The sequence below is a fragment of the Homo sapiens genome, chromosome 4 (assembly GCF_000001405.40).
Source record: "Homo sapiens chromosome 4, GRCh38.p14 Primary Assembly".
Classification (NCBI taxonomy): domain Eukaryota; kingdom Metazoa; phylum Chordata; class Mammalia; order Primates; family Hominidae; genus Homo; species Homo sapiens.
Window position 1 is genome coordinate 133,093,305 of NC_000004.12, and position 13,243 is coordinate 133,106,547.

Genomic DNA, 13,243 nt, shown 5'->3' on the forward strand with positions numbered 1-13,243 from the left:
TTATATCAATAAAATTTATGATAAACATATTAGTGTGTATATATACATATATACACATTTGAGTGTATATGTATCTATATAAACATATACATATATGCATTTTTGAGAGCCTGTTGAACGTTTACCACCATAACACTTAGAGACACCCAAGTGTTATCTAATAAATTAGATCTAATAATACTTTTTTTTTTATTGTCATGCAAAGGATCTTCCAAAGTCATCGCCAAGAGAAGGATCCCTTTTGACAGGATCTAGGATTGGTACCCATTATGAAGGTTCAGTAACTCTCCTAAGACCCATAATTAGTAAGTGGCCATAGGAGGCTCTAAAACCAGAAAGTCTTAACTCCAGAGGCTACTTTTTGACTCTGCAATCTTTCATGAGAGCACAGCATTCATCTCAGGAAAGCACAAATGTTTTAACATTAGAAAAGAAGAGCAAATAAGACTTTTTTAATTGTACATGCATTTATAATAATATAAACTCTTGAAAATAGAAAATAAATAACTTTATAGTGTTTAACTACTAAAACTTACAACAAGCCTCTCACTGATATTTAGTACTAATACTTAGAAGCATTTTATTTAACATTAGATGCAAAACAATACTTTTTAAAAAAATTGCACATGCATTTAAAATAATAAAAAATTCTTGAAAATAGACAAGAAATAACTTTATAGTGTTTAACTACTAAAACTTATAGCAAGCATCTCACTTATATTTAGTAGCATTTTATTTAATATTAGGTACAAAATAAGATTTACCACTCTCTCCCACAGTAATCAATATTTTGTTGGAATTAGCTAAGGCTTTATGAAAGCAAGTACAAATGAGTAGTTTAAAAATTTTATTGTAATAATAATTGTATTTGCTTTATGCACACGATATTATTGTCTACTAGAAAATCCAAAATACTAAGCCAATGGTAGAATCACTAAGGAGTTGGGCAAAGTTCTTAGTGAGGCAATATCAGATACTGGTAAATATTTCAGGCTGGATGCAGTGGCTCACGCCTGTAATCCCAGCACTTTGGGAGACCGAGGCAGGTGGAACATGAGGTCATGAGATCGAGACCATCCTGGCTAACATGGTGAAACCCCATTCTCTACTAAAAATACAAAAAATTAGCTGGGCGTGGTGGTGCCCACCTGTAGTCCCAGCTACTCGGGAGGCTGAGGCAGGAGAATTGCTTGAACCCAGGAGGTGGAGGTTGCAATGAGCCGCGATTGTGCCACTGCACTCCAGCCTGGGCAACAAAGCGAGATTCCGTCTCAAAAAAATTTTTTTTAAAAAGCAAAAATAAAATAAAATAAAATGGATTTCAAGCTCTGGAGACAAACTGCATGGATTCAAATAAAGCTTTACTCTTATATGACTTAGCACATGTTACTTAAGCTCTTTGTACCTCGATTTTCTTACTTGTGTAATGGAGATAATAACGGTCTCTTCCCATAAGAATATATAATAAGTTGATATATGGATGGAACTTTGACAACATCTGTCACATAGTAACCACCATGTAACTCGTCGATTGTTATTTTTATTACTAAATACCCACAATAATATTCAAAAGTGAAAATAAATAACACACCCATGGTTACAAGGATGTGTAAATTCATATCATAAAAATGTCTATTTTCTACAAGTTAGTCTACAAATTTCATGCAATTCAAATTCAAATCCCAAAAGTGATTTTCAAAGCTGACAACTGAACCACAAATCTCTATGGAAGAATAAAAAGAAATGCACAACCAAGACAAATTTAAAGCTACATCATTAGAAGGAGCACTTCATCCTGTCAATATCAGAACACTATATTAGTACCAATTGTATGATACTGGCACAGGAATAGACAAGCAAATAATGAACAAATCAGAGAGCCACGATTCATATCCTCATATATAAATATTCATATCTAGTAACAGTGCCTTTATAAATAATTAGGGAAATGCCACAATATCTATTCAATGGATTATGTTGGAACAATTGATTACATGATTACATGAGAAAAATAAGTAAATTTGTTCTCTATATGATATCATATAAAATAAATTTTATTTATGATAAAACTGAGTGACAACACTCAGAGATAGAACACTGTATCAGGTCAAACTCAATCCTACATTAGTGTCTGATAAAGGTCTATAAATGAAAATCCTTCTCCTGCTGCTAAAATATTCTCATTTTATGTTAAGGAGAGAAAGGTTGTGAGAGGTGATTAGGATATTACTTTATGATTCCATGCATATGTTTTTAAATTCATGACACTCTAGGAAAACTGTAAATCTACTTGTGAGCATTTGTAGTTACAGGTGAAATTCAGATAGATCCCCATTAGTGAACATCTGTTTTGTTTTTACAACTTTTTTCCCTTTCATCTGATAGATGAACCTCTATTTCATAAATAGGACTGACTCATTGTGTGGTTCTGATGTGTCTCCTACCACAAAATTAGGAGTGTGTCATGAAATTTCCCAAACTCATTGCTTTGGACATGGGCATATGACTCAGGGTGGATCAATTACTGTCCTTTCGAGACTTAGTCTGGAAGAGATATTGGAGAAGCAGAACTCCACTTGCCAGAATATGTGGATTTAACGCATTCTGAGACTGAGTCAGCAAGTTGCCATCTTCACCATAGAGAACCTGTGCAGAAAAGAAATCAACATAGAGAAAATCTAAGCCAAAGGAAAGGAGTAGGACAGATTTCTGATTATATAAAATGCACTTTAATAGATCATGACATAAGCCAGAAATATTCTTTTAATTTAGCTCTTTTCATGCTGAATTTAATTATTTCACTTAAAACTTACTGTTTTCACCATAAAAAATAATTTGGTGATTTAGACATTGAATTAGGACCACATAGTTATACAAGTATTATTGTAAAATTGATTACAAACAATAATGTGAAGCTAGAAGTAAATGATGTTTCATTCAGGATGAATTTATTAATACATGTGCTTACGGTTACTTCTTCAATAATCTTGTTTTTATTAGGCAAGATCAACTAGCTACTGCAACAAATGGACTCAAAATATGAAATAGCACATAATGGAAATGTATTTCTTGTTTACAAGAGTAAACAGATCAGAGAACAATTCTCCTCCAAATGGCCAACAGATACTCTGCCATCTTCACCCTATGCCATCCAAGACTTCCCTGACAGTCTTCTCCATTCCACTAGACAGGGAGCAAATAAAGCTTAAAGGACCATACATGGGAGTTTTTAATGAGTCAAGTCTAGAAATGATATATATCCACTGTGTTCATACTTCATTGGTTAGACCTCAGGAAATGTCCACACAAAAAAGCAAGAATAGCTAGGAAAAGTCTATTTCTAACATCAATAAGAGGAGAATCAGGATGTTGGTAAGCAGTAAGCAAGTTCTGCAAAAACAGTTATTGTAATAATAAATATTCATGTGTACCTGTTCCCTCAGGTAGTATACGCTCACCCCACGGTAGACAAAACTAAGTCCCATCTAGTTAGTATAATCAGCTCAACGTTCAGGATCTGTGGGTATTGAACACTTCTCTCCATCATGACTGGGAGTGGTTGTTGTGGTCCTGCAAAGCCTGATATAAAAACAATCAGTCTTATGTATGCTGTCAGTGGTAGAGCAGGGATAAGATAACTATAGTAGACAAGTAACATTTAAGAAAGGGAAAAAAGAACACAGAACACACACCTGATAATAATAACCATACAATCCTGCTGGGTAGGTCTTACAAAGCACCCCTAATGAGACACACATGATTTGCCCCTCTGTGGGGAAAGTTCCTTAATGAGACCCACATTCCTGGCTAAAAGTTACTTCCTTGTTTATTGTTCTCCATGACCTCAGGTTCTGCTCCCTGGGAAACACTTGCTTGTTCTTTACCCTTGGGAACTATCCATCTTATACTCGTTGTTTCTTTCTTATGAAAATGTAGGGGCCAGAGGATTGCTTTGAGTGTAATTTTCCTCCTAGCTCAGGATTTCTTTGAGAAAACAATTTCCTCAAAAACTTAATAGACTTTGGATGTATTTCTTTCAAGTCAATTTCATGTGCTAATAAGCCATTCATAAAGATCCTTCGTAGACAAAACTCTAGAGTCTAACTATTTTTTTCTCCTTTGCCCCTTTCAGGAGATCATTATTTCAAATTACCAGGGATAGTTATTAGAAAATAGGCTTAAGTAGGAATATCATACGCTGAATCTGGTGATTATTTTAAGGCTTATTCACATTATCTGAGAAATTTTAAGACCTCCGTCTTTTACATAAATCTCTCTTCAATTTGATTTCATAGTTTTTAAAATCTAGAAATAGGTGTTTCCAATCATATGTACCTACTAATTTTTCTCTATTCACTTCTATTTTTTTCTGTACATTGGTCATGTTTTCCTAAGATTTTGCTTTTCTTATAGCTCCCTGCTAAAAGAAAGAAAGAATATAACATAGCTTCTTTAAACAATAACAAACATACACAAAAAAATGACTAAAAGCGATAAATTTTGGCTGGGCTAATAAAAAAAGCATGGCAACTTATGTCAGGTGGAAGGATAGACAAATAGATACACTAGAGATTTAAATAAAATCATATTGTATAATAAACAAATTTTATGTCAACAGTTTTGAAAAGTTAAGTGAAACTGAATATATATTTTTTAAATATAAAACTGATTAAGAAAAAAATAAAGCCTCACTTGTACTATAATAACTATTAAATAAACTAGCATAGTAATTAAAAAAAGAAATCCAAAAATCACCAGGCCTAGATTTTTGTATAGGCCAATTCAAACAGACTTTCAAGGATAAGATATTTCAATACATAGGGCAATTTAGAGACTAGATAAGAGTGCATATACCTTACTTTGAAATTGATACAAAAAATAAACGTTTCTCGTTTATGAACATACCTATAATAATCCTAAAAACAGTATTAGAAAATCAAACCAAGAGTAGCATAAAGAAGTGCAACATGACCAAACTGAGTTTATTTTACAAACATGAATGTACAGTAATATATTAAAAGAAAAAATATAAAATCATCCCAATAAATGTAGAAAAGTTATTTGCTGAAATTTATACATAATAATATTGTTAACAAGTGAAAACTTAGTGCACTAGGAATAGAAAGGCACTTACACAGGCTGACAAAAGGGATGTTCAAATAATCACCTAAAGCAAACCTTATTTTTAATGAGAAACAGTTACTATCATTAACTTGGAAGTAATATAAAATACAAGTATGCTTGTTATCATCACTTTTATTCAAAATCTTACAGAGGTCTGCCACAAAAAAGGGGGAAAGAAAATCACTGGAAAAAAAAGAAACAAAATTCTAATTATTCGAAATTCATATAATTATCAGAATTGAAAACTAAAAAATAATCAGATAAGTTACTAGAAGTGGTAAGCATTCAGTAACAGGGCTTATCAAAAATTAAATGTATTTCAAGCACGAAGTAGCTAGGTAATTTATTTTAAATAGCATTATAAATAGCAATACACAGTGTGAAATGCTAAAAATAAACTTAACAAAAGAAGAAACAGCCATAATGCAGAAGATGTTAAGATAATATTGAAAGAGAGTTAAGAATCCCTAAATAAAGTCTTATTTATATTCATGGAAAACAAAGAGAAACACACTATCATGAAGATGTCAATTCTCTCCCAATAAATAGATAGAATATATGAAATTCTAATTCAAATTCTAGTATTTTCCCCCTCTGTAACTGGAAAATGTATTATTAACTTCATGTGAAAGAGCAAAATGCCAAAAACATAGCCAAGATACTCTTCTTGAACTCTTGGCTTCAAGTGATCCTCCTGCCTTGGCTTCCCAAAGTGTTGGGACTATAGTCTGAGCCACCATGTCCAGTCCTGATAGTCTTTTTTATTTTAAATTTTTAGTTCAGGAGTACATGTGCAGATTTGTTACATAGGTAAATTTCTGTCATGTGGCTTTATTGTACAGGTTATTTCATCACCCCAGTATTAAGCTTAGTGCCCATTAGTTATTTTTCCTGATCCTCTCCCTTCTCTCAACCTCTACCCTCTATAAGGCCCCGATGTGTGTCGTTCCCCTCTATATGCCCATGCGGTCTCATCATTTACCTCTCACTTATAAGTGCAAGCAGTATTTGGTTTTCTGATCCTGCATTAGTTTGCTAAGAATAATGGTCTCCAGCTCCATCCATGTCCCTGCAAAGGACATGATCTCATGTTTTTTATGGCTGCATAGTATTCCATGGTGTATATGTACCACATTTTCTTTATCTAGTCTGTCATTGATGGGAATTTAGTTGATTCCATGTCTCTGGTATTGTGAACAGTACTGCAATGCACACTTGGATGCATGCGTCTTTGTAATGGAATGATTAATATTCCTTTGCGTATATACGCAGTATTGGGTTCTGGGTTTGCTGGGTGAAATGCATTTCTATCTTTAGGCCTTTGAGGAATCACTGCACTGTCTTCCACAATGGTTGAAAGAATTTACACTCCCACCAACAGTGTATGAGCATTCCTTTTTCTCTACAACCTGGCCAGTATCTGTTATTTTTTGACTTCTTAATAATAGCCCTTCTGACTGGTGTGAGATGGTATCTCATTGTAGTTTTGATTCGCATTTCTCTAATGATCAGTGATGTTAAGCTTTCTCTCATGATTGTTGGTTGCATGTATGTCTTCTTTTGAAAAGTGTCTGTTCATGTCCTTTGCCCACTTTTTAATGGGGTTGTTTGTTTTTTCCTTGTAAATTTAAGTTCCTTATAGATTCTGGTTATTAGACCTTTGTCAGATGCATAGTTTGCAAAATTTTTCTCCCATTTTGTAGGCTGTCTGTTTACTCTGTCCCTAGTTTCTTTTGCTGTGCAGAAGCGCTTTAGTTTAATTAGATCTCATTTGTCAATTTTTGCTTTTGTTGCAATTGCTTTTGGCAACATTGTCATGAAATCTTTGCTCGTGTCTACGTACTAAATGGTATTGCCTAGGTTGTCTTCCAGGGTTTTTACAGTTTTGGGTTTTACATTTAAGTATTTAATCCATAAGATAGTCTTGAACAAACAAAATGTTAGAGATGGGGTTATGGTCTTTTAGCTATAAAGAGTTTTTATTTTAAAAAGTCATTATTAAGGAATATATTATTGATGAAAGATGACCAATGAAACAGAAAAGAACACAGAAGCATCTGTCCTTAATATATTATAAGAAAATGGCATTTTACATCAGTGGAAAATTTAGGTTCTATTTTACAAATAGTACTAAAAGAATTAATTTTCCCTATGATTTTAGGGATGTTTTCACAGTTGTTGAAATCACATATATATATAAACATATACATATAATCATGTATTAATGATTATAGTAATATACAGAAAATAAGAAATTAAAAGAAAAAAGGAAAGGAAATATCACTTATTAGCATAAACTTGAAATTAAAAACTAATGAAAACATCACAAGAAAGACTAATCAAAACTCATGATTAAATTTAGGTACAAAATTTAGGTACAAAATATAGACAAACTCAGGTCAATCAAAGTTTAAAAACAATAACAATAAAATAGCTATGCCAAAGTGGGGTTCATTTCAGGAGTGCAAGTATGTTTATTTATGTTTACAGATCAATTAATATAATTCATTACATCAGCATATTAATGAAAGGAAATCATATGGTCCTCTCAATAGAAATGGTGATAAAATTAAACATCCATCCATTACTTTAAAAAAATCTATTGGCAAATTAGAAAAATAAATTGACTTCCTAAACTTGATAAAAAGCATGCAAAAACAAACAACCGACAAATAAAAACATAATTAAGACATTTTCTCTAAGATCAAGGAGAAGACAAGGTAGCTGGTGATTGCCTTTCCTATTCTGAAGAATATAGGAGTACAAGCTATGGCGGTAGGCAAGAACAACACAGAATGCTTAAAAATGGAAAGAAAGAAAACAGGCTGTTATTCAAAAATAAGAAGATATACTATATCATAAATACAATTGAAACCACAGTTAAAATACTATAACTACACAAGATTTTATAAAGGTTGTAGAGTACAAACCAATATATAATGAATAGCATCAATAGAACAAAATGACTTCTTACAAATCAATAATTTTTTAAAAATAAGAAAATGAGCAAATTGTGTAAACAGACTATTTACAGAGAAAGAAATGTAAAGTGCCAGTATATGTGTGTGTGTATACATATATATACATATAAAAAATATATATATTTTTTAAATGCTCAAATTTACCAATCATCAAGGATATACAAATTAAATCAATAGAAATATTTTTCACATATTGACTGATAATACAACTAAGGTCATGTATTGGTAAGAATTTATAGAAATGTGCATTCTCATACATATTTGATGAAAATGTCCATTAGTAAAATCCATTTGAAGGATAGTTAGATGGTACATCATAAAATTAGAATGTCCCTAACTTTAGATAAAGCAATTCAAATTTCTGGAAATCTATCCAACATTAACATTTACACGGGAGAACACAGGCATATTCATTCATGCATGAATGCATGCATTCCTTACTAAGTGCCTCCATATACTAGAACCTATCCTAGGTTCTGCAGAATTAAAAGAGAATAAGACAGAGAAGGACTTACCCTAACATGCTGGAAAGATTACATACTAGAAGAATATGGGTGATAACAAATCAATAAAGAGCATAATAATTAATAGGATCATAAAAAATTAAAAGAAATAATGACTAAGAGTTTTCCTTTTCCGAGGCATTAATAAATGTATTGATGAGCAGGGGACACCATCATTCCTGAATAGATTGATGGCAGTTGTCTTGTGAGGGTATGCAACGGAGTAAGTTCGCTGTTCATAGTGGAAAAAATGAAGCCCCAGCAGAGGCCATGTGAGTAAAGCATATGGAATTAACACAAATGCCGAAGGACAATAGGTCATTACAGTATACTGACTTGCAGAAATTTGTGGCACCCTCCCTCTCCATCTCAGTCTATTCACGTGTACCGACTCCCTGCTGCCCAGACTATAATCTTCCTAAGAACAAGAGTCATGTCTGTCTCTCTTCTCTAAACCCAGTACTTGGCATACCTTAGTAATAAATAACTTCATGTATTTATATAATTATTAACTCATATAGGGTTTACTGTGTGTGCCAGCCATAATTCCTAATGTTTTAAAAATAAGAAATGAAAACTCATTCATTTGTGCCTCATAGCAACTTGATCAGGTTGCTTTATTTTTATCCCCCTTTCACAATTGAGGAAATGGAAGCAAAGGGAGGTAAAGTAACTTAATCAAGGTCCAATGTGGTAGAGACAGGACTGTACACCCAGGACATCTGGCTATAAAGAACCTGCTTTTAACCACTATTCTACGCTGATTAATAGATTGCTGCACTCACTTTATTGCAAACAGTTAAACTTCCTGGAACTACATCTACAGAAACCTTTCATTCTGGAAGAGAGCCTCTGCTTAATTTAAAGACTCATTCCAGAGTTTTCCCTCTCCATCAAGCGGTAGGGGGAGGCAGAGGCTTGCCTCCCATGGTACATTTACACTGCAACTTTTAGAGAAATTATTTGCTGATTCAAAATGGAAACGAACAAAGGCAGGCTAAAACCTCTTGACTTGAAGTTTTAAAAAATTATTGCTGTATTCATTTAGCCTAAGAAAGAACAACACAATGGTTAAATTTAAGTATATCCAAAGAAAATTCCAATTAAATTACATTGTGGGGATTTTAATGATCATCCCACTAAATTTTTTTAATATAACTTTCCTTACTAGCCAGTAAAATATTTTTCATTCAGAGGAGTTGAGTGATCTGTCTTATGAATAATAGTAAATACAGCTCACATTTATTTTAGAATGTCAGAAAACAGCTCAGTTGACAGCATTAATAGAGTGGAAAATCCATGATCGCAGGAGTTTCATGTCAAATATGACAACCTTCTAAATTACTTGTCAAAGTTGACCTGCACACAAGCTTAGATGAACTAAGTTAGGCAAGTTAACAGTGAGTATAAAAGTGAAATACATCTCAGAATTTCAATGATAGTGATCACTGAACAAACCTTGGGATTGAAAGAACTACCATTTGGTAAAGAAAACAGAGGAAAAGCTCATCTATTCCTGTAACTATTTAAGAATGAAAAACATATTTAGACCCAGTTCAGAGAAAAGAGACCTTTAAAACATATTTAATGTAACCATGCACATAAACACAATGAGGGTTTGTTTTGATTTATTGTCAGACAAAAGGAAGTATTTTCAATAGTGATGCCAATAAAAAAATCTGTGTGGTAGAAATCAAAAATGATACTTACAATTAAGAATATTAACTCATTTCCTAAATTCAAACAAATTTTTGAAATCTGGGACTAGTTTTATGAGATAATCCATCAAGGAATTATTGGCAGCAGCAGGTACTGGTATTCCTCATAGCTCTATAATAGCTAGCTGTGCTATACACCCACAAGGTCTATAGTTAGAGGGAAATAAAAAAGTAAAGTAAATAGCTGTCATTTATCGAGCAGAATCTAACAGCCATGACATACTGTATTAGCTATTTTAAAATATCATTTCATTTAATGCTCAGAAGAAACTCCAGTAGACAAATAGATTAGTGTGCATACTTCAGTATGCTAGTTCGGTATAATTTTCCAGCACTGGCAAGGAAATTTTACTTTATAAACAATTCTGGATCAGAAAACATATTGCCTACCTATTGCATACTTCCTATCAGTACCTCAATAAAGAGTCTAAAGTGCATTGATATTCAGTAAATGTTCTTAGTATATTAAAAACTTGTTTAGTATATTAAAATCCTTAAAGAAGGGTATCAATATTTTATATGTGGTCTTTTAGTCCTTCAGTTTCTCAATTCAAATAATAAAGAACAAGTTATAGCTTACATCCTTTTTCAAAGAGAATTAAGAGACAAAGCCAACGTAGTAGCACGTGGCTGTAATCCCCAATACTCAGGAGTCCGAAGCAGGAGGAATGCTTGGGTCCAGGAGTTTGAAGCTATAGTGCACTGTGATTCCACCTCTTAAGAGCCATTGCACTACAGCCTTTAACCCATCTCTTAAAAACCCACCTCTTAAAAAAAGAGAAAGGAAAGAGAATTAAGATATAAACAATGTATTTGTAGTTAAAAATACCTAGTTATATTTTTCTAGATGACTTTAACAAACATTTATATAGGTCCTATTATATAAATGCTGGTCACTATGCTTGGCACTAGAATCTACCTACATCAGGACTTCACATCTAGTACTGGCATGTGTGTCCATCCACGCGTGTATATTCTACAAAGCTAATACTCACCAAATAAAATAATATGTCTAATATATGTATGGTTGGGTAAACTTTAGTATATTAATTATTGCTCTTTTCCCTCTCCCAGATTGTTACCTTTTTTCTGCCTCTTCTTCAAGAAAGTAGTATGCCTCAAGCCTCATGTACTTGGAATAGGTATATAACTAAAAATAAATTAAAATTAGCTTGTCAGAATTCTGAACACTTGTTTTGTAAGTCCTATACCTACTGATAATAATAGTTTTTGTGGCAAGATAATAAGAGTCTTGGAAAAGCAAGAAGTAAGTTGAGGTTCCCCTTAAACTATTGTTTGGTGGGGCCCAGAGGTACAGATCCAAACAGTAATGGGACATTGCTTCAAGGCCTCAAAGAAGAATGTTCGTTGGCTGGTCACCAGGCACAGCAGAGATTTGACACCTCACACATGGCATGGGAACAGCTAAAAAGTGTTAGTTGAATAAACCACTGTAAGCACAGGCAGTGAGAATGTCAGTATGGACCATCACCAGTCATCAGAAACTCCTGTCCATTCCTTGCGCACAAAGTAGGCATCTCAGATTCTGAATGGACATTAGGTTGGGGAAGGAGAACCTACCACACTGGAGATATAATTTCCTGTAAATTTAGAAAGCCAGAGTATAATAGTAAAAATCAACTTTATTTAAAGGAAATAAAGTAATACTTTAAACACATCTTGGCTTGCAAACTGTAATTAATACCTGACTGGTTGTGAAATAGGAAAAGTATTTGTGAAGTACATTAAAAGAAAAATATAAGCAAGTGATAAATGTATCACAGGGAAAGTGACATCTGAGTAATGTTTGGAAGATGAGTGAAAGCTTCCTTAGCAGAGGAATTACACATGCAAAGTTAGAGATAACTCTAACACCATACTTTGACCTAGATATCATCAGAAATCCATTAGTGTAGCACTGGAATGTAAAAATTCACAAGCAACTGATCATAAGAGATGTGAAGCTGAGAGAAAAGCAAGATGTATTGAATCAGCAGGATAATATTTTTCAGTAGCAGTGGTTCTCAAAGTATGGTCAAAGGACTCCTAGAGATTCCAACACTTTTTCGGGGGATCCACAAGGTCAGAAGTATTTTTCTTATAATAATAAGGCATTATTTGCTTTTAACACTCTTCTTCTCACACAAGAATGCAGGGGAAGTTTCTAAAGGCTACATGACATACGACATGACAACAGACCGATGCAGAAGGAGATATACAAATCCATGAATCTCCTATTGAGGCAGATATTAAAGAGATTTGCAAAGATGTAAAACAATGCCACTTTTCTCATTTTTGTTTCAAAACTGACATTATTTTCCATAATATTTATGTTAATATGCAATAAAAATGTTTTGGAAATGTTTGTTTCAATTTCTAATACAGTAAACACTGTTAGATAGAAGCCAGAAAAACAAACTTTAAAAAAGTGTTTGGGGTTGGTCTCAACAACTTCTAATAATGTAATGTCAGACCAAAAAGTGTGAGGACCCATACTGAAACTTAAGAACTAAGTACAGAGGCTTCATATTTCTTAATGCTAAAATTAACTAGTATGATAAAAGGGAAAACATAAATAGTCATCCTGGTTATTATACTTGACTATTGAGTTGGTATGGGTAAAGGGTGCCAATACATTGACAGTTAAGACAGCTACGAAAGTAGATGATAAAGATGTAAAATGGAGCTGAAAAGTAGTATAAATAATATTCTTTTAAAAGTAATCAAGTTTTAATCAAATATGTCATTTCTATTAAAATAGGCTGTCATGGCTGTTTCCTCACTGCAATTATTATTGCTAAAGAAAGAGAAGACAATGACAAGAGGAGGAGGATGAGAAGGTAGAATAGGAGGAAAAAAAATTAAGCTTTTGCATGCTGATTAGTACTTTAAGTGAAAATATTCGGTTGATCATCAT

General features: G+C 33.1%; 1 long non-coding RNA gene across 1 annotated transcript in view; it reads right to left on the reverse strand.

Annotated features, from left to right (window-relative positions):
- Positions 1 to 555: 555 nt before the first annotated feature.
- Positions 556 to 13,243, reverse strand: part of PCDH10-DT (PCDH10 divergent transcript) — a 55,257-nt gene continuing 42,569 nt past the window's right edge. The window contains exons 8-9 of the long non-coding RNA NR_125885.1: positions 3,432 to 3,579; positions 556 to 2,646 (exon numbers count right to left, since the gene is read on the reverse strand). This is a non-coding gene — a long non-coding RNA (PCDH10 divergent transcript). The remainder of the gene's footprint in view (positions 2,647 to 3,431; positions 3,580 to 13,243) is intronic.